The 23,722-nt window shown below is 37.4% G+C and overlaps 1 long non-coding RNA gene across 1 annotated transcript in view; it reads left to right on the forward strand.

The window, feature by feature from the left end:
- GNG12-AS1 (GNG12, DIRAS3 and WLS antisense RNA 1) overlaps window positions 1-23,722 on the forward strand; it is a 370,700-nt gene that overhangs the window by 219,704 nt on the left and 127,274 nt on the right. The window contains exon 3 of the long non-coding RNA NR_040077.1: window positions 19,809-19,882. This is a non-coding gene — a long non-coding RNA (GNG12, DIRAS3 and WLS antisense RNA 1). The remainder of the gene's footprint in view (window positions 1-19,808; window positions 19,883-23,722) is intronic.

Below are 23,722 nucleotides of genomic sequence, written 5' to 3' on the forward strand. Positions count from 1 at the left end.
GTGAGGTCTAGCCTGGCGCCTGTAATCCTAGAGAATAAGGAGGTTGAGGCCAGGAGTTAGAGACCAGCCTGGGCAACATGGGGAGAACTTGTCTCTACTTTAAAAAAATTTAGCCCAGTGTGGTGGTGGCCGCCTGTAGTCCCAGCTATTTGGGAGGCTGATGTGGGAGGATCACTTGAGCCTCCCACATCAAGGAGATCGAGGCTGCAGTGAGCCGTGATCACAGCCACTGTACTCCAATCTGAGCAACAAAGTGAGAACCTGTCTCAAAACAAATTCCAACCTGATTCTGGTATAGCATCACATGACAGGTAGCAGCCCTAAGGGCGATCAAAGTATTTTACCCCAAAATATATTTCTGACATATTTTGGAATGGTCCTGTGCAAAGCTATCTTTTGCGAGGGAAATTTGTGTTCTGTGGACAATCTCCTTCCCTTTCCAGGTCTTTCTCTGATCCGGGAGAGATTTAACTAAGAGTCTGACACCGTTTAAGGTCATTTACCTTTTGAGGTACATATGCCATCTATTCTTTCTGAAGCATATTACAGGCTTCACATATGTAACAAGAACCCTGGCTTCCACAACCTCCCTCCTGCCACCACTGGCCAAACCCCTCCTCCTCCAAAATGTACCGGCTTTCCAGGTCAAACCAATGTATACCTTACATATATTGACTGATGTTTTTGCCTGTATCTTCTGTCTTCCTAAAATGTATAAAAGAAAACTATAGTCCAAACACCTTGGACACATGTTCTCAGGACCTCCTGATGCTGTGTCACAGGCCGTGGTCACTCATATTTGGCTCAGAATAAACCTCTAAATATTTTACAGAGTTTGGCTTTTTTCACTGGGTTTCCCCACTCATTTTATTGGCATTAGCTCATACTCTTTCTGTCCAATCATATTTCTACATTGCTGTCTATATTTTATTAATCCTAAGTTAAAAATAGACAATTTCCTCTATATGCTTGGGTCATCATTCTGCAGGCTCCCATGTATACATATTAAATACATTTGTATGCTTTTTCTCCAATTAATCTGCCTTTTGCAGGTTGATTTTTCAGTGAGCCTTCACTGAAGTTTCCCTTTGGTCCCTGCACTGGTAATTAACTCAAACTGTTTTACCAAAATTTGATTCATAGCCTTTATCTCATTTTACCAGAAAAATAATTTGGATCCAACTGTTCTCTATAAACCAGCAAGTTTATATGTTTTACTATCTCACAACTAAAATTCTAAAATAAAAGCTAGAAGACCTTTATGTGTATATTTGTTTAAATATATTTACACATATGTACATGTATTATGTTGTATGTTATGTCTACATAATAAAATTCAGTGTGGTAGGCCAAAAATCCCTTAAGAAATGTTAATCTGATTGGTTTAAATAGATGGGCACTCACACAAAAACATAGTAATTAACCTAATTTTTTTAGTTCATGTAACTTAATCTTTAAAAAAGTAATTGGTTTTAAAATTGTTGATAAAATAAAATTAAAAACGTCTTTCTAATTGTCAATATATATTTTTGCCTGTGTTTACTGGTGTGGGGGCTATGGCTCTCAGCCCCCCAAAGATTTGCTGGAAAATCACTGACATGGGCCACATTGATTAGTAAGAGAAAAGACATACAAATGTATTTAATGTGTATACACAGGAGCTTTCAGAATAAAGACCCAACTTCTCAATGAGTTATAGAAGTTTATACACTAGTCTTGAAATTACAGAAAGAATGGGGGGCTTGGATTCTGGTAAAACAGATTATGGGAGGAGAAGAGGAATTTATTGAGGGGCAATGAATGATTGGTGAGAGAATGATTGGATTGAGCAACAGATATTAACTTGTAAATAGTTTTCTTTGGAATTTAAATAATCCTTGGAGGCAGTCATTGTACTTCTATAAAGGTCTGCTTGGGTGTGGTTACATTTTGGTCTTCTTTTCTTTAACAGATGAGATAACAGGAGGAGGAGAACCAACAATTGCTCTCCTTGGTGGGTCTGGTTGTTAGGCAGATAAAGGAACTTCAGCTTCTTTGGGAAGGATGGTGGGGTTGGAGGAAAAGTCAGAGAGACCTTGAGGCTTCTTTAGTTTAGCGTGTCAAATACCATGTTTTGGCATATCAGTTTCTGAGCACCAGCACTGGTCAGTTTTATATTTGCCTGTGCTATTAAGGTCATGAAGCTATAAACCAGGCCTAAAGCAAAGTGATATATATTTATGCAATTCTTTGATAAATAAGATTAATTTAATATTATTTAACAAAAACAGCTGTGGCTGGGTAGTGACTCCCACCTGCAATGCTAAAACTTGGAGAGGCCAAGGTGGGAGGATCACTTGAGCCCAGGAGTTTGAGATCAGCCTGGGTAACATAACAAGACCCAATCTCCATAAAAAAATTTAAAAATTAGCCAGGCATGTGCCTGTGATCCCAGCTACTCTTAAGGCTGAGGAGGGGGGATCCCTTGAGCCCAGAGTTCAAGGCTAGAGTGAGCTATGATCACACCACTGCACTCTAGCCTGGGCAACAGAGTGAGCCTTTGCCTGTAAGGAAAAAAACAAAAGTTGTATTTTCTGAGTTATCTACAGATACCCATGTATTTAACTTTATGGCTCTTATGTGGGTAAACACCTCATGTTAACAGGCTATATAATTATTTAATTTAAAAAAACTTGAAATAATGACCAGCTCCATCTAATATCTCAATTTTTGTAAGAAATATAGGTATAATTGTTAAAAAATAAATTAACTGTAAATGAAATAAATGTTTATAAATGAACTCATGTAATTTAAAGTCTTAAAATTTTATGTTAAATCATATATACAAAATAAATGTCTGTATCATAGTCAGATAAGATAAAATGATTGGTTATCCCACATTTTTAAAAAAAGAAAAATTATAGGACTAAGAGGTAGGGGTTAGGAAAATAAAAGGTCTAAAGTTGAAGAGGACTAATAAAGGATGAGCTAATAAAAGAAGTTTTATGTGTTATTGACTTGGCTGGAATTAAAAACAAATTGTTTGTGTGTTTTTCTAAAAATTAAACGTTCTCAGGTAGGGGACCAGGGGACAGGCACTGATACAGAACCAGAGTCTGGTTCCTTATATTTAAAACAACAAGATTTCTTGAAGTATTATCTGATTTTAATAAAATTTTAAGGGGTTTTGATTTTTAAATTTATACTCTGTTTTTAAACAGGTATCTTCTCCTTGACATCTATTTAATTTTCCTAGTTTTGGGTTAAAAATGTTGTCTTCTTGATTTAAAGTGGTAATTTCATTCCTTGAGGTACAGTTGTTTTTTTTTTTTTATTTCTCAAATTCATATTGCAGAAGTTCATCTTTTACAGTTTCTTGCTGTACATGATTTGCAGGTCAATATGTCATTTCCTTCATTTTTTTCTCCCCTGGAGAAGGCCTGAGATGATCATTCTCCTCTTTGGCTTTTTTTGGTTCTAACATTGCTGTTTTGGCCTGACATTAGAATATTTATCTTGAAGGCGTAGAAAAGCAGCGTTTTTCTCCAGTATAACTTAATTTTGTGCTCTTGGCTTTTCTTGATATGTCTGAATTTTTCCATATAACCAGAAAAGTTACTGTGGTAAGTAACAGCATGCTGTTACTAAGAACCATGTAGTTCCCTGCTCAAGGTACTAGTTTTCTTGTTTATATTCCTCTATAATATAGTGTATACTTATAACCTTGGACATATTCTTCCTGTGTTTCATGACATTCAAGTTCCCTTTTCATCAGGTTCAACTTCCACGTTATCTGAATGAGCTTCCCATAATGAAAAACAATCACACCGAAGAGGGCTTTCTTTACGTTTTTGGTAGCGAGTCTAAGAAACAAAGATTTTATGTTTTAGCAAACTAACTTTCTATGTTACCTTTATTAGGCTTTTGATTACTTAAAAAAAAATGAGTTTTAAAAGGGTTAAGGTTTCTAAATCCATGTGACTTTCTTATTGCTTTTGAAGTCTTTTGATTATGACACTGGTTAAATGAATAACTGTTATTTCACAGCAACCTGTGATTCTGTTTTGAACCTTTTAACATCTTTGACAAATGTCTCCCAGGTCAAATCCTATTTTAAGACTTTTTGACCTAAAATTAACTTTGAGATTTTTTCAGTTAGGCTCCTGGAAAACCTTAAAAGACATATTTCTCATTTTGTAGAGATGACTAGGCTTATTTGGTGAATTGTATAAAAACATCGTCAAATAAGTGATACTAGATTTTCTTTTAGTTACATTTATGTACATGTTGACATGAATGTTTCAAAAATTATATAAATTCATAGAAATCGAGTATGTTTTCAGTCATAATTCTAACATAATCTTTTGTTCAAATTATACTCATCGTCCCTGTTGTAGAGCTGGACATTCTCTGCTGTAATTCAACCCAGTCATAAAATTTTACCCAATGGCTACAACAGGACTCAAGACTCAACCAGTTTCCTACATGGTCTTTTGATTTCTTTAGTTGGTTACCTTCAACAGTAGGTTCATGGTTTAGCACCAGTATTTAGACCAGACTGATTATATTAGTGGGTTTTTTTGTGTGTGTGTGTGTTATGATTTTTAAACTTTTTTCTTATTACTTGACTAGTCTTTGTAAAGCCAGCTCTCCCAACAAGATAATGTTAGCCCAGCAAGATGATTGACTAGACATAGCCAGGTAGAATAGCTTCTACCAAGGGACAGAGACAGCTGGTATACTCCTAACAGATTTTCAGAGGGAAGGCTGCCCCTACCACTTCCCTCCAAAAATGATGTAGGGAAGACACAGAAGCTGGGCTGAAGTGGGGAGAAACCTGGGAACACTCTATGGGGCTACCGTGCACCCGGACTCTTTCCTTGACCCCAGTGGCTCTGAGGGCATGGGTGAGTTGAACTTGCAAGGAGCAACACATTCTTGCCATAGGCCTCTGGAACCCCACCAGGAGGAGACCCCTCAACCACCATGGACACTTGAATTGGCAGGAAGGGCTACTTAGAGAACTGGTAGGGGCAGCAAGCCAGCTGATGTGGAGCACAGAGGGTTTGGAGCAGGAACATCTGTAGTGGAGCATGGCCAGGGACACCCATCCCCCTTGGATCAACTTACTTCCATAGGAGACTTTAGCCCCAGGGGAACTGTTAGTCCTGAACTCTGTAGGGCAATCTTGCCCATCAGTTGGGGCTGGTCCAACCTGAGCACCCCTTGCTCTGCTGGCCTCCCCCAAGGCCCTAGCCTAGCCACACCTGCTTGCAGGGCAATCTCAGGCACGTGGGGGCCCACATCATAGTTTCTGTGCTGGCGGACTGTGCCTGACTGGAAAGCTCTAGCTGGGTGGCCCTCACAGCCCACATACTCCCTCCCCACATTGCAGCTTCCCTGAGACCCACAGCAATTCCCAACATTGCTTCGCTGGTGCATATCTTTGCAGACAGGTTTTGCTTTCCTTGCCCTGCCATCTCACCAGTATGTGTGCACCTTACCCTGCCACTGCAGCGCGAGAGTGCAGTCTGACCCTCTCTCACTGCTGACCATCATTGCAGATGGAGCCTTGATGAGCACAGAGCGAATTCTGCCCCGACGGTGCCCTGCCCTTGCACTAACACTGCTGTGGGAGTGAAACTAGGTGCAGAAAACAACAGATCTCTCCCTGGCCTGAGCAATTACTCATGCTTGTGAGGCACAGAGAAAGCTCACAGACCTGCACCTGCCAGCATCCAGCTCCCAAGCCAACACCACAACCAGTGCAGCCATGCACACCCTCACCAGCAGGGGCCCCTGCTCCCCCTAGCTGCATTGCCTCCACCACTATGGTGAATACCCTCAGGGAGGCAGGCACCCTAGTACCCTGCCGCAGTTGCCACTACCACTGCTGCTGGTACCTGTGAATGAGAATGGATCCCACTATAACTGCACTACAAATGCTTTGGCTGACACTGTGGGCAGCAAGCCACCCAGGTGCCAAGGCAAGAGACCAAGGGCACGAGCTGTTCCAGTATAATAAAATATATAAAATAAGAATAGTTATACTAGATATAGATCTTAGATACGATTTTATATGAATATCATTAATCATTAGTTTGTAGTAATTACTCTTTATTCCAATATTATAATAATCCTCACTCTACAATCATAACCTAGGAAAAACCAGGCCATACAGAGATAGGAGCTGAGGAGACATAGTGAGAAGTGACCAGAAGACAAGAGTGTGAGCCTTCTGTTATGCCCAGACAGGGCCACCAGAGGGCTCCTTGGTCTAGCGGTAACGCCAGCGTCTGGGATGACGCCCGTTACCAAGTGGACCGTGGTCTAGTGGTAGCATTAGTGTCAAGGAAAAACACCTGCTACTTAGCAGACAAGGAAAGGAAGTCTCCCTTTCCCTGGGGGAGTTTAGAGAAGACTCTACTCCTCCACCTCTTGTGGAGGGCCTGACATTAGTCAGGCCCACCTGCAGTTTTCTGGAGGCCTAACCATCTCCCTGTGATGCTGTGCTTCAGTGGTCATGCTCCTAGTCTGCCTTCATGTTCCATCCTGTACACCTGGCTCTGCCTTTTAGATAGCAGTAGCAAATTAGTGAAAGTACTAAAAGTCTCTAATAAGCAGAAATAATGGTGTAAGCTGTCTCTCTCTTTCTCCTCTCTCTCTCTGCCTTGGCTGCCAGGCAGGGAAGGGCCCCCGTCCAGTGGACACGTGACCCATGTGGCCTTACCTATCACTGGAGATGGTTCACACTCCTTATCCTGCCCCTTTGTCTTGTATCCAATAATTATCAGCGCAGCCTGGCATTCTGGGCACTACCGGTCTCTGCATCTTGGTGGTAGTGGTCCCCCGGGCCTAGTTGTCTTTTCTTTTATCTCTTTGTCTTTTGTCTTTATTTGTACGCTCTCTCATCTCTGCACATGGGGAGAAACCCACCGACTCTGTGGGGCTGGACTCTATAGACACCACGCACTGGAATGTAGTGACCAGTGGTCTCGGAGTCTGGGAGCACCTTGACCACCACCACCCCCTCAATCCCACTGCAGTGGGTTTCTAACTTTGAGGAGCCAGAAAACGAAGTTGGAGCCCAACACAAGTCCCCCAGAGTTAGAACACATAGTACAGGAATTGGAATCTGAGCCTCGGCTCTGTAAAATCTTCCAGAAATGAAACCAGTCAGCTGAATATACCTTATACTATGAGCAAACCCTCAAGGACATCAAATAGAATAAAAGAAAAAAAAACATTCAAAGGTCAGCAACCTCAAGGATTGAAAGAACATAAGCCCACAAGGATGAGAAAGAACCAGCATAAGAACCCTGACAATTCAAAAAGCCAGAGTGCTTTCTTTCCTCCAAATTACCTCATCACCTCTCAAGCAAGGGTTCAGAACCAGAAGAGATGGTTGATATGACACAAATAGAATTCAGAACATGGATAGGAATGAAGATCACTGAGCTACAGGAATATGTTGAAACTCAGTCCAAGGAAGCTAAAAATGATGATAAAACAATGCAGAAGCTGACAGACAAAATAGCCAGTATAAAAAAGAACATAACCAACCTGATAGTGCTGAAAAACATACCACAAGTCATAATGCAATGACAACTATTAATAGCAGAACAGACCAAACAGTGGGAAAAAAATCTCAGAACTCAAAGACTGGTTTTCTGAAACAAGAGAGTCAGACATGAGCAGAAAAAAAGAATGAAGAGGAAGGAACAAAACCTCCAAGAAATATGGGATTATGTAGAGATCAAATCTACAACACATTGGTGTCCCTGAAAGAGAGGGGGAGAATGAAACCAACTTGGAAAACATATATCAGGATATCATCCAGAGAACTTCCCCAACCTAGCTAGAGAGGCCAACATTCAAATTCAGAGAACCCCCAGTAAGATACTTCACAAAAGGATCATCCCCAAGACAAATATTCATGAGATTCTCCAAGGACAAAATAAAAGAAAATGTTAAAGGCAGTTAGACAGAAAGTTCAGGTCAACTACAAAGGGAAGCCTACCAGATTAACAGTGGACCTCTCAGCTGAAACCCTATAAGCCAGAAGAGATTGGGGGCCAGTATTAAACATTCTTGAAGGAAAGAAATTCCAACCCAGAATTTCATATCCAGAAACTAAGCTTCATAAGTGAAGGAAAAATAAGATCCTTTCAGACAAGCAAATGCTGAGGGAATTTGTTACCACCAGGCCTGCCTTACAAGAACTCCTAAAGGAAGTACTAAATATGGAAAGGAAAGGCTGTTACCAGCCACAACAAAACACACTGAAGTACACAGACCAGTGACACTGTAAAGGAACCACAAACAAATCTGCAAAATAACCAGCTAATATCATGATGACAGGAGCAAATCCACATGTATCAATAGTAACCTTGAATGTAAATGTGTTAGATGCCCCAGTTAAAAGGCACAGTGTGGCAAGCTAGATAAAGAACCAAGACTTATTTGCATGCTGTCTTCAAGAGACCCATCTCACATGCAATTGCAGACATAGGCTCAAAATAGAGAGATGAAGAAAAATCTACCAAGCAAATGGAAAACAGAAAAAAAGCAGGGATTACAATTATACTTTCAGACAAACAGACTTTAAACCAACAAAAATTTTAAAAAGACAAAGAAGGGCATTAATGGTAAAGGGTTCAATTCAACAAGAAGACCTGACTATCCTACATATAGGAGGAGGACCCAGATTCATAAAACAAGTTCTCAACTTTAAAGATATTTACACTCCCATACAATAATAGTTTTGGAGAATTTAACACCTCATTGACAATATTAGATCATTGAGACAGAAAATTAACTAAGATATTCAGGACCTGAACTCAGCACTGGATCAAATGAACCTGCTGACATTGACAGAACTCTCCACACAACAACAATAGAATATACATTTTTCTCATCGCCACATGGCAAATACTCTAAAATCAATCACATAATCCAAAGTAAAACACTCCTCAGCAAATGCAAAATAACTGAAATCATAACAAACAATCTGTTGGACCACAGTGTAATCAAATTAGAAATTAAGACTAAGAAATTCACTCAAAACCATAGAATCATGGAAATTTAATAACCTGCTCCTGAATGACTTTTGGGTAAATAATGGAATTAAGGCAGAAACCAATAAATTCTTTGAAACTAATGAGAACAAAGACATAACATACCAGAATCTCTGGAACACAGCTAAGGCAGTGTTGAGAGGGAAATGTATAGCACTAAATGCCCACATCAAAAAGTTAGAAAGCTCTCAAGTTAACAACCTAACATCACAATTAAAGAACTTGAGAACCAAGTGAAAACTAACCTCAAAGCTAGCAGAAGACAAGGAATAACCAAAAATTAGAGCCAAACTGAAGGAGATTGAGACACAAAAAACCATTCAAAAGATCACCAAATCCAGGAGCTGATTTTTTTTTTTGAAAAAAATACTAAAATAGACCACTAGCTAGAATAATAAATAAGAAAAGAGAGAAGATCCAGATAAACACAATCAGAAATGACAAGGAGGATATTACCACTAACTGTACAGAAATACAAATAATCATCGGAGAATATTATGAGCAACCTTATGCAAATAAACTAGAAAATCTAGAAGAAATGGATGAATTCCTGGATGCATACACCCTCCCAAGACTGAACCAGTAAGAAATTGAATCCCTGAACAGACCAATAACAAGCTCTGAAGTTGAGTCAGTAATAAATAGCCCACCAACCAAGAAAAAGCCCAGGACCAGATGGAATCACAGCTAAATTCTGCCAGATGCACAAAGAAGAGCTGGTATCATTCCTGCTGAAACTATTCCAAAAAATTGAGGAAGAGAAACTGCTCTCTAACTCATTGTATGAGGCCAGCATTATCCTGATACCAAAACCTGGCAGAGACATAACCAAAAAGAAAAATAATAATAAAAATAAATTTAAAAAAACACTTCATGCCTATATCCTTGATGAATATAGATGAAAAAATCTTCTACTAAGTAATGGCAAACAGAATACAGTAGCACATCAAAAAGCTTATTCACCATGATCAAGTAGGCTTTATCCCTGGAAAATCAATAAATATGATTCACCACATAAACAGAACCGAAACCAAAAACTACATGACCATCTCAATAGATTCAGAAAAGAGTTTCAGTAAGATTCAACTCCCTTTCATGTTAAAACCCTCAACAAACTAGGCATTGAAGGAACATACCTCAAAATAATAAGGACCATCTCCAAAATCCCACAGCCAACATCTTACTGAAGGGGCAAAAGCTGTAAGCATTCCCCTTGAAATGAGGAACAAGACAAGGATGCCCTTTCTTACCATTCTTATTCAACATAGTACTGGAAATACCAGTGGGAACAATCACGCAAGAGAAAGAAATAAAAGGCATCCAAATAGGAAGAGAGGAAGTCAAACTATCCCTGTTTGTAGACAATGTAATCCTATATCCAGACAATCTTATAGTGTTGGCCCAAAAGCTTCTTAATCTGATAAACAACCTCAGCAAAGTCTCAGGATACAAAAATCAATGTGCAAAAATTACTAGCATTCCTATGCAGCAACAACAGTCAAGCTGAGAGCCAAATCAGGAATGTGATCCCATTCACAATTGCCATAAAATAAAATGAAATAAAATAAAATAAAATAAAATAAAAACCTAGAAATGCAACTAACCAGATATGTGAAAGATCTCTGCAATGAAAACTACAAAACACTGCTGAAAGGAATCAGAAATAACACAAACAAATGGAAAAACATTCCATACTTATGGATAGACTCAATATTGTTAAAATGGTCATACTGCCCAAAGCAATTTATAGATTCAATGCTACTTCTATTAAACTACCAATGACATTTTTCACAGAACTAGAAAAAAATTATTTTAAAATTCATATAGAACCCAAAAAGATCTCAAATAGCCAACACAATCCTAAGGAAAAGAACAAAGCTGGAGGCATTACACTACCCAACTTCAAACTATACTATAGTTGGGCAAAAGTATACTATAGGGCTACAGTAAACAAAACAGCATGGTACTGGTACAAACACATACACATAGAACAATGAAACAGAATAGAGAGCCCAGAAATAAGGCTGCATATCTACAACTATCTGATGTTCAACAAGCTGACAAAAACAAGCAATGGGGAAAGAACTCCCTATTTAATAAATGGTGCTTGGATCACTGGCTAGCCATATGCAGAAGATTAAAACTAGAATCTTTCCTTATACCATATGCAAAAATCAACTCAAGATGGATTAAAGACAATTTTAAAATCTAAAACTATAAAAATCCTGGAAGACAACATAGGCAATACCATTCTGGACATAGGGATGGGCAAAGATTTCATGATGAAGATGCCAAAAGCAACTCCAACAAAACCAAAATTGACCAATGGGACCAAATTAAACAAAAGAGCTTCTGCACAGCAAAAGAAACTATCAACAGAGTGAACAGACAACCTACAAAATGGGAAAACATTTTTTGCAAACTATGCATCTGACAAAGGTCTAATATCCAGCTTCTAGAAAGAACTTAAATATATAAGAGAAAAACAAACAACCCCACTAAAAAGTGGGCAAAGGACATGAATAGACACTTTTCAAAGAAGATATACTTGTGGCCAATAAGCATATGAAAAAAAGCTCATCACTGATCATTAGAGAAATGCAAATCAAAACCACAATGAGATACCATCTTACACCAGTTAGAATGGCTATTATTAAAAAGTCAAAACATAACAGATGCTGGCAAGGTTGTGGAGAAAAAGGAACGTTTATACACTGTTGGTGGGAGTGTAAATTAGTTCAACCATTGTGGAAAACAAGATAGTATGGTGCTTCCTCAAAGACCTAAAGGCAGAACTACCATTTGGCTCAGCAATCTCATTACTGGGTATATGCCCAAAGGAATATAATTGTTCTCTCATAAAGACATATATGTACATGTATGTTCACTGCAGCACTATTCACAATAGCACAGACATGGAATCTATCTAAATGCCAATCAACGGTATACTGGATAAAATGTAGCACACATATACCATATAATACTATGCAGCCATAAAACAGAATGAGATTATGTCCTTTGCAGGAACATGGATGGAGATGGAGGCCATTATCCTTCACAAACTAATGCAGGAACAGAAAACCAAATACAACATGATCTCACTTATAAGTGGAAGCTAAATGATGAGAACACATGGACATTTAGAGAACAACACACACCAGGGCCTATTGGAGGGTAGAGGATGGAGGAGGGAGAGGATCAGGAAAAGTAACTAATGGATATTAGGCTTAATACCTCAGTGATGAAATAATCTGTACAACAAATTCCCATGACACAAGTTTACCTATATACAAACCTGCACATGTACCCCTGAACTTAAAATAAAAGTTAAATTTAAAAATATTTTTAGAAGATAATGTTAGCCCAACACTTCAAGGTGATTGCTGTTGTCCATGGTATTGATAAGAGGAAACTTGATACTTCCCAGAGAAAATTACCCTGAGAAAATTTTTCCTTCTGGACTTTTTGTTATTCAAATGTGGCCCAAGCCCCTGACATAGACCCTCATGCCTTCTTTCCGACATGGGACAGAGACAACCAGGACAGGCTTACCCCAGCACTGAGGAACAATTAAGCCAAATTCAAGATGATTGATCAGTGATGCTTTCAGAGAAAGATCTTGATCAAAAGAAGAAAATGGGAAGTTGATCATACCAGTTGGGTCAATTTTGTCATCCTCAACTAAATCATATTCAAGGGATCGAAGGGGAAAATCACTCAGAACATATAACATTGCTCCAAGAATATAATTTTCTGAAATCTTGGCTTATGAAACTGCCAGTTGTAGCCTGAAGCCAGTTTTATCTAATAGCTACTGAAACATCTTGCTGAGATGCTAGACTAGGTTTATCCACAACCATCACTCACCAATCAGTACTTGCCAGCTCCCTAAAAAATGTTACTAGTGCCAATGAACTTTCTTTCAAAACAATATAAAACATTTCTCCTTCTTGTGGAAACTCCAACCTTTTTTTGCCTCCACACAAAAAAGACTGAAGATCAACCAGTCTGTATGCATGTCCCAAATTGTAATTCTTACTTCCCTAATAAAACATTTTGAATTTAGAAATTTGTCTCTATATTTTATTTGACTTCAACATATTCATATTATGGGATGCTACTCAGGAATAAAAAAGAATTATTGATATATGAAACTACTTAGATGAATCACAAAAAATTATGCTGAGTGAAAAAAGCCAATCCTGAAATATACCGTATGATTCTATCTTTGTAGCAATCTTGAAATGACAAAATTATAGAAATCGTGTATTATTAGTAGTTGCCAAGGGTTAAGGATGAGGGAGGAGGCATGGGATGAAGGTGGATATGTTTGTAAAATAGCAATATGAGAAATTATTGTGTTGAGAGAACTGTTCTGTATCTTGAATGTGGTTGTAGAGATACAAACCTACACGCATGGTAAAATTCCATAGAATTAAGTACATACACAAATGAATACAAGTAAAACTATCTGAATAAGATCAGTGGGCTGTATCGATGTTAATATTCTGGTTGTAACATTGACTGTAATTTTGCAAGATATTACCATCAGGGAAACTGAGTCAAAGTTACCAGAGAGCTCTCTGTATTATTTCCTACAATTGCATGTGAATCTTCAATTATCTAAAAATTTTTTAAAAAGGTAAATTTTAGAAAGCACTTGCAAAAAAAATAAAAGCAGCCCAACTCTGATGGCTGTCCATTGCCTACAGAATTAAAGTTCAAACTCTTTAGCTTCATACTCCTTGTTCCCTGCAAACCAACTTTAAATTCCCTTTCGAATCTTACCTTCCAAAAGCCTTGTGCACAAACTGGCTATTCTTGGGAGGTCCTTGTGGCAGCTTGACCACTCAGCTTATGCATTCCTGCTGCCCTGCTCCCTTCCCCACCCCCATCTTCATCTCCTCATCCACTTACCCCAATCCTACTCTCCTTCAAGCCTTGCCTCTAAATGGCACCTCCAGCTGGAAGGAATTTCTCCCTTCTTGGAGTTCCCACAGCACTATTCCACCTTGTATTGCAGTTATGTGTGTATTGTTTCATGTTCTCCACAAAGCTATGAGCTTTTCTTGGACAAGACTGAAATTCATTTATCTCTGATCCCCTCATGCTAGTAAGTGCCAGCATGTGTCACTCAGAGGCAGCCAAGATAGTGGGGAACATACATTCCACCCAGAGGGGTGGAGATCTCTGAAGGAAAGCCAGCTTTGGATCTAGCCTGACTTCCTCTTCAGGCCTGGTTCCACCACTTCTTTACAGTTTGGCCTTTGACTCTATCCTAAGTTTCCGCAATTGATAATAGCAGTGTGTGAAAAAAACACCTTCCTCAATACCTAGCACATAGTAGACACTCAGAAAGTGCAGCTGGAGTTTGGGGACTTGGTTTCCAGTTCCTGTTTGGTCACGTACTAATTATATAGGCTTAAGCAAACAACTTGTTTTCCTTTTATATTCAGTTTCTCTGCCTGTAGAATGGGCACAAAATATTTATGTCTGAAGTAAGATTGAGTTATGTGTGTAAAACTACTTTAGAAATGTTAGAGAACAATATTCAAGGAGAGTACTGATTGTGGAGTATGAATGAGCTAACAGTCACTTGAGTGTTGACCACAAGCCAGGCACTGCTCTAACAATTTTACATGTGTTCACTATTTAAATCTTACTATGATTGTGTGAGGTGGAGACCACTGCTATCCCTATTTTATAAATGATGAGACTGGGTATAGAAAGGTTAACTAAGTGGCAGAGGCCAGGAGGGCTAGCTAGCTCCAGGTGTAGAGCATTTTACACCATGCTGCCTTTCTATTAGGTGTTGTTGAAAGGGCGTTGTTGGACCTTCATAATTATAATTTTGGAAATCTGTTTCTTTTCATTTCCTACAAGGTTCTCCTTACAAACACCTTTGCTTAAGCTCTGTAGAAAACTAACAGCAGTTGTATTTCACACCCTTCACAACGAGTTAAGTATCTTCTTTACAATTTTTGACTTCCTGGATCAGGGTTACCTAAGAATCCCTTCCCTAATCCCATTCAAGTGTTTTCTACTCCCTCCAAGTCTGTTCCCAACCTGTCTGCTTTTGCCTAGCACCCAGCTGCTTCAAATAGCTCCTCATTGGTAGAGATATTATCTCCCACTTCTTAGAGAAAGGAAGCCACCAGGCAAAACTCACCAGCTCCTGGACCATGCACATTCTTGGGCATTTTCTCTTTCCTTAATCCATGGCTACTAGCTTCATCTGAGCCGTGGATTGTTTTTCAATATGTAGTCCTAGTATCACCTGTATTGGAATCACCGGGGATGCTTGCTAAACCACCCAGCTCCAGTCTACAGAATCAGAATCTGGAGGTGGGGCCTGAAGCTGGGTGGGAGGGGTGTCTAGATTTTAATAAGGCCCCTCAGGTGACTCTGATACAGAGGCAAGTTTGAGGCAGCTCCTTCAGAACTTTGCTTAATCAATCGTGTCTTTTCTAACCTACCAGTCTCTCTCACTGTCAATTAGATTCTTTCTCCTGGCCTGTAAATATACTCAGGTCTCGACTATTCTAATAAGAAAAAATGTTACATCATGGGGTTGTGGTGATGAATAGTGTTAATATACATAAAGCCAACAGCACCTAGTACATACAATACATATGTTGGCTATCTTTTTTTCTTAAATTTTTTTTGTAGTTAACTAAAGCCCATAGTTTATTTGGATTTCCTCAGTTTTTACCTAATGTTTTTTCTGTTTTGCAATCTCATCCTATGACATGTAATTGTCATGTCTCCTTAGGCTTCTCTTGGCTATGACAGTTTCTCAGACTTTCCTTGTTTTTGTTTATCTTGACAGCTTTGAGGAGTTGTAGTTAGGTACTTTCTAAGATACCCCTCTATTGAACTTTGTCTGATTTTTTAAAAAATCATAATTAGACCAGGATTATGGGTCTTTGGGAGGAAGATCTCAGAGGTAAAGTATAGTTTTCATTACATCACATCCAGGGTACATGTACATACTATTGACATGATTTATAACTGTTGATGTTGATGTTGATCACCTGGCTGACGTGTTCGTCACATTTCTCCATTGTAAAGTTATGCTTTTCCTGCTTTGCATACTCTTTGGAAGGAAGTCAGTACGTGCAGGCCACTTGAGGGGAGATTTATGCTTACCTCTTTGAGGGCAAAGTAGCTACATAATTTTTAAAAATTATTTGGAATTCTTCTGTGTGGAAGATTTCTCTCTAACCCATTTATTAATCATTTATTTATATCAGTATAGATTTAAGGATACATATTTTGTGCTTGGGGTTATAACCCAATGCTACTTTATTAGATTGTAATGATTTGTTCAAATTGTTTCAGCTTTGGCCATTGGGAGTTCTTTCAGCTGGTTCTTATGCTCCTTTGACCTTCTCATTAATAGACTGCAGGTTTTTTGTGTGTTTCAGCAATTCTTGGCATTATAAGATGCTCCAGACTCATCTTGTATATTTTCTACCCCATTGCTAGAATTAACCGTTTCTCAAGTGGAATGGTATTTTTTTTTTTAAAAAAATCTATTATGCTGGTTTGTACTGGGAAGTCATTGTTCTCAGACTCCCTCAACTGAGAGGGCAAAGAAATATATGTGTGTACACTTGTCCTTGTCTATACGAATATCTATAAATATTTCTATCTATATCTATTTGCATCTATATTAAGTTAAATATGAGTTCTTACTGATGTCTTTGACTATACCCATTACTATATGCATCATTCTAGCCATCCTCTTGCAGATCTAGAAATTTCCATTCCAACAGTGAGACATCTGGCTCCCATCTTCTGCCATGTTTACTTAGTCATCCAATCCCAGTATATATGTATAGTGGGCTCAGAATTGTTAACTTTTCTTAACTTCATTTCCCTGGGAAATGTCTTTATCAACTAGTACAATGTTTATGTATAGTTCCTTGACTGTTGTCTTACATACTCCATTTATTTCCAGAATGACTTCGGTTGGTGTTTTCCAACCCCTTCGGTGGAGTTATAACAGAGTCTCTGGTTACAGTCTGCATTCTTTCCTAGAGGAATGTAGTGATTGTCACAATCTTAAGTAACACATCCATTGCCACCCATGATGTACATTAGATCTTCAGAATATAGTGAGTCTTGAAATCTAGTCAGTCCTCCAACATTGTTCTTCAGTACAGTAAGTTATTCTGGTTTCTTTGCCCTTCCACATGACTTTTAAAATCAGTTTGTTACTATCCACTAAATAGCTTACTCAGATTTTGATAGGGATCATGCTGTACCTGTAAATCAAGTAGGGAAAAATTGACAACAATATTAAGTCTTCTAATCCATGAACATGGAATATCTCTCCACTTGTTTAGATCTTCTTTGACTTCTGTCATCAGAGTTTTGTAGTTCTCTGCATACAGAACCTGTACATATTTTGTTAGATTTATGCCTAAGAATTTCAAGTACATCTAAGTATTTTGATGCTAATATAAATGGCACGGTGTTATATATTTCAAATTCCAATGGTTCATTCTTGGTATAAAGAAAAGCAATAGGGTTTTGCATATTAACCTTGTATTCTGCAGTCTTACTATTGTCACTTATTAGTTTTAGAAAGGTTTTTGTGGGTTTTTAAAATTTATTCTATGGGACTCTCTACACAGACATTCATATCATGTATGTCACATATAAACAAAAGCAGTTTAATTTCTTCCTTCCCAGTGTGTACACTCCTTGTTTCTTTTTCTTTGCACTAACTGGGACTTCTAGTACAATATTAATCAGGAGCAGTGAGCAGGGACATTGTGCTTTGTACTCAATTTTAGGGGGAAAACATTCAGATTTTTTTTTTTTTTTTTGGTGAGACAGAGTCTCGCTCTGTCACCAGGCTGGAGTGTAGTGGTGCAATCTCTCTGCTCACTGCAACCTCTGCCTCCCAGGTTCAACTGATTCTCCTCCCTCAGCCTCCTGAGTAGCTGGGACTACAGGCACCTACCACCACGACTGGCTAATTTTTGTATTTTTAGTAGAGATGTGGTTTCACTATGTTGGCCAGGATGGTCTTGATTTCTTGACCTCGTGATTCACCCACCTTGGCCTCCTAAAGTGCTGGGATTACAGGCGTGAGCCACCGCAGCTGGTCAACATTCAGATTCTTATCCATAAGTACATCAGGTGTGAGTTTTTGTAGATGTTCTTTATCAAGTTGAAGTTGTTTTTTCTTTCTAGTTTGCTGACAGTTTTTATCATTAGTTACCATGAATTATGGATTTTGTCAAATGCTTTTGCTGAATCAGTGGTGATATGGTTAGGCTTTGTGTTCCCACCTAGATCTCATCTTGAATTATAATCCCCATAATCCCCACATGTCAAGGGAGAGACCAGGTGGAGGCAATTTTATCATGGGGGGTGGCTTCTCCCATCCTGTTCTCATAATAGTGAGTGAGTTCTCACGAGATCCGATGGTTTTATAAAGGGCTCTTCCCCCTTCTCTCAACACTTCTCCTTCTTGCTGCCTTGTAAAGACGGTGCCTTGCTTCGCCTTTCCCTTCCACCATGATTGTAAGTTTCCTGAGGCCTCCCCAGCCATGCAGAACTGTTAGTCAATTAAGCCTCCTTCCTTTACAAATTACTTAGTCTTGAGCAGTTCTTTACAGCAGTGTGAAAATGGACTAATACAAGTGTTTAGAAGAATATTTTTCTTCTTTAACCTGTTGATGTGATATATTGACTTAAAAAAAATTAACCCAGCCTTACATAACTGTGATAAATGCTATTTGTGACATATAATTCTTTTTACACGTTGTTGCATTCAAATTGCTATTATTTTGTTGAAGATTTATAATCACAGGTGGTCTGAAGTTTTCCTTTCTTGTAATGTCTTTATCTGGTTTTGTTATTAAAGTAATGCTTTCCTGATAAAATGAATTAGGATATTTTCTCTGTGCTTCTATTTTCTGGAAGAAATAATAGAAAATTGGTATTATTTCTTTCAGTATTTAGTAGAATTCATCAGTGAAACCATCTGGAGTTGTTGGTTTCTTTAATAGAAGATTGTTCATTATTGATTTAATTTCTTTAATAGAGACACATTCATATTATTCTTGTATGAGTTTTTGTAGTTCTTGTCTTTCAAGGAATTTATCTATGAAACATAAAATTTGTGGGCATGCAGCTGTTTACTGTAAGGCTTTGTTAACCTTTTAATGTTCATTGGAGCAGTAGTTATAACCCCTATTTCATTTCTGATACTGTCAACTTGTGTTTTCTCTCTTTTTTTCTTGGTTAGCCAGGCTAGACGCTTATCAATTATATTGATCTTTTCAAAGAGCAAGTGCCTGGTTTTGTTAATTTTCCTTATTGTTTTACATTTTTAAATTTTATTGATTTTTATTGTAATTTTTATTATTTAATTCTGTTTGCTTAAGGCTTAAATTTCTCTTTTTTTCCCAAGTTTCTTAAGGTAGAACTTTAAATGATTGATTTTTAGAGTTTTTCTTTTTTCCAAGATGGCAATTCAATGCTATAAATTTCCCTGTAATCACTGCTTTCATTGCACCCAACATAGTTTGATAACTTTTATTTTTATTTTGTTTTATATATTTTTAATTTTTCTTAAGACTTATTCTTTCATCCATGTGTTATTTAGAAAAGCATTGTTACATCTCCAAATATTTGGGAATATTCTATCATTTTGTTATTGATTTCCAGCTCAATTACATTGACACTTGAAAATATAATTTGTATGATTTCTTATCTTTTAAATTTGTCCAGGTATGTTTTGTGACCCAGAATGTGATCCTGGTAAACATTCCATTTGAGAAGAATGTGTATTCTGCTGTTGTTGGGTGAGATACTTTTTATATGTTAATTAAATTGCTAATTGGTTAATGATGTTGTTCACTTCAGCTGTATTCTTACTGATTTTCTACCTCCTGGAGATATCAATTACTGGGAGAGTTTTTTTTATTTAAGTCTTCAACCATAATAACAGATTTGTCTACTTCTCTTTTCGGTTCTATTAGTATTTGCCTCATGTCTTTTGGTGCTTTGCTATCAGGTGCATGCACGTTAATGATTATTATGTATCTTGGAAAATTAGCCCTTTTATCATTATGAAATGCCCCTGATAATTTATCCCTGATGATTTTCCTTGTTCTGAAATCTGATTTATTTGAAATTAACAAATCTACTCCAACTTTCTCTTGCTTAGTATTATTATGGTAGACATTTCTCTATCACTTTACTTTTAACCTATTTGTGCTTTTATATTTTAAATGGGTTTTTTTTGTAAACAATATATAGTTAGGTCTCCTTTATCTATTCTGACAGTCTCTGTCTTTTAATTTACATATTCAAACCATTCACATTTTAATATGATTATGGATATAGTTGGTTTAATAACTACCATGTTTGTAACTGTTTTCTATTAATTGTACTTTTTATTTTTTATTTTTTCCCTCTTTTTCTGCCTTCTCTAGTTGTAGAACATTTTATGTCATTTTATATTTCTTCTCTCTTAGTACAACAGTTACCACAATTTAAAAAAATTTTAATAGCTGCTCTAGAATTTGCAATGTATAACTTTATGTTCACCTTTAAATAAGACTATGCCACTTTACATTCAATTCAAGTACCTTATAACATAGTATTTCCAGTTCATTCCTGCCATCCTTTATAGTATTGGTGTTATTCATTTCATTCATTCATATGCTATAACTGCTTGATATATTGTTAATATAATTACATTGAACAGTTATCTATTAGATCAATCAAGAATAAGAAAAGATTTTATTTTACCTTCATTCCATCTCTAGCATTCTTCCTTTCTTCATTTCTTTTTTCCTTTTTTTCATTTCTTTTATTTGTTTATTTTTTTAATTTTTATTTTACGTTTGGGGTGCATGTGAAGGTTTGTTACACAGGTAAACTTGTGTCTTGGGGGTTTGTTGTACAGATTATTTCATCACCCAGCTATTAAGCCCAGTACCCAACAGTTATCTTTTCTGTTCCTCTCCCTCCTCCCACCATCCACCATCAAGTAGAGCCCAGTGTATGTTGTTTCCTTCTTTCTCAAGTTCTTATAATTTAGCTCCCACTTATAATTGAGAACATACAATAGTTGGTTTTCTGTTCCTGCATTAGTTTGCTAAGGATAATGGCCTCCAGCTCCATTCATGTTCCCACAAAAGACATGATCTCATTCTTTTTTATGGCTGCATAGTATTACACGGTGTAGAGGTACCACATTTGCTTTATACAACCTGTCATCGATGGGCATTTAGGTTGATTCCATGTCTTTGTTATTGTGAATAGCGCTACAATGAACATTCACGTGCATGTGTCTTTATGGTAAAATGATTTCTATTCCTCTGGGTATATACCAATAATGGGATTATTGGGTTAAATGGTAATTCTGCTTTTTGCTCTTTGAAGAATTGCCATACTGCTTTTCATAATGGTTTAACTAACTTACATTTCCACCAACAGTGTATAAGTCTTCCCTTTTCTCTGCCACCTCAGCAGCATCAGTTTTTAAAATTTTTTTTTTAATAGCCATTCTGACTGGTGTGAGATGGTATTTCATGGTGGTTTTGATTTGCGTTTCTAATGATCAGTTACATTGAGCTTTTTTTCATGTGCTTGTTGGGTGCGTATATGTCTTCTTTTGAGAAGTATCTATTCATGTTCTTTGCCCACTTTTTAAAGAGGTTGTTTTTCTCCTCTAAAATTAAGTTCCTTGTAGATGCTGGATATTAGACCTTTGTCAGATGCATAGTTTACAAATGTTTTCTCCTATTCTGTAGGTTGTCTCTAGTCTGGTTGGTAGTTTCTTTTGCTGTGCAGAAGCTCTTAAATTTAATTAGATCCCACTGGTCAATTTTTGCTTTTGTTGCAATTGCTTTTGGTATCTTTGTTATAAAATATTTGCCCTTTTTTATGTCCAGGATGGTAGTGCCTAGGTTGTCTTCTAGGGTTTTTATAGCTTTGTGTTTTTTTCATTTATTTTTAATATTTTAAAAGTTTATTACTGTTCAGGGGTACATGTGTAGGTTTGTTATACAAGTAAATCACATGTTTCAAGGGTTTGGTGTATGTTTTGTTTTGTTTTTTCACCCAGGTAATAAGCATAATACCTGATAGTCTTTCAATCCTCACCCTCCTTCCACCCTCCACCCTCCAGTAGGCCCCAGCGTCTGTAGTTCCCTTCTTTGTATCCATATGTACTAAATGTTAAGCTCCCATTTATAAGCGAGAACATGTGGTATTTTGTTTTCTGTTCCTGTGTTAGTTCACTTAGGATAATGACCCCCAGCTCCATCCATGTTGCCACAAAGGACATGTCATTCTTTTTGTGACTGCATAGTATTCCATAGTGTATACATACCACATTTTCTTTATCCAGTCTACATTAATGAGCATTTAGGTTGATTCTATGTCTTTGCTACTATGAATAGTGTGCTACAATGAACATATGCATGCATGCATCTTTATGGTAGAATGATTTATATTCCTTTGGGTATATACACAATAATGGGATTGCTGAGTCAAATGGTAATTCTGCTTTGAATTATTTGAGAAATTGCAAAACTGCTTTCCATAGTGGCTGAACTAATTTGCATTTTCACTAGCAGTTTGTAAGCACTCCCCTTTCTCTGCAACCTTACCAGCATCTGTTGTTTTGACTTTTTAATAATAGCCATTCTGACTGGTATGAGATGATATCTCATTGTGGTTTTGATTTGCATGTCTCTAACAATTAGTGATGTTGAACATTTTTTCATATGATTTTTGGCCATGTGTACATCTCTTTTGAGAAGTGTCTGTTCATGCCCTTTGTCCATTTTTTAATGAGGTTACTTTTTGTTTGTAAATCTTTTTAAGTTCCTTATAGACTGTGGATATTAGACCTTTGTTGAATGCATAGTTTGCAAATATTTTCTCCCATTCAGTAAGTTGTCTGTTGACTCTGTTGACAGTTTCTTTTGCTGTACAGAAGTTCTTTAGTCTAATTAGGTCACATTTGTCAATTTTTTTTTATTGCAATTGCTTTGGGCATCTTCATCATGAAATCTTTGCCAGGGCATACGTCCAAATTGGTATTTCCTAAGGATTTTATTAGTTTTTACAGTTTTAGGTTTTAATTTTTTACAGTTTTAGGTTTTACACTGAAGTATTTAATCCATCTTGAGTTGATTTTTGTATGTGGTATAAGGAAGGGGTATAGTTTCAATCTTCTCCATGTAGCTAGCTAGTTATCCCAGGGCCAATGGGGACTCCCTTCTCCATTGCTTGTTTTTATGACGTTTGTCAAAGTTCAGATGGTTGTAGGTGTTTGGCTTTATTTCTGGGCTCTCTATTCTGTTCTAGTGGTCTACATGTCTGTTTTTGTATCAGTACCATGCTGTTTTGGTTACTGTAGCCCTGTAGTATAGTTTGAAGTCAGGTAATGTAATGCCTCCAGATTTGTTCTTTTTGCTTAGTCTTTCTTTGGCTATGTGGGCTCTTTTTTGGTTTCATATGAATTTTAGGATTGTTTTTTCTAGTCCTGTGATGAATGATGGTGGTATTTTGATGGGAATTGCATTGAATTTGTAGAATGGCAGTATGATCATTTTCACAATATTGATTCTACCCATCCATGAGCATGAGATGTGTTTCCAATTGTTTGTGTTGCCTGTGATTTC

The sequence above is a fragment of the Homo sapiens genome, chromosome 1 (genome assembly GCF_000001405.40).
Source record: "Homo sapiens chromosome 1, GRCh38.p14 Primary Assembly".
In the NCBI taxonomy this organism is placed as follows: domain Eukaryota; kingdom Metazoa; phylum Chordata; class Mammalia; order Primates; family Hominidae; genus Homo; species Homo sapiens.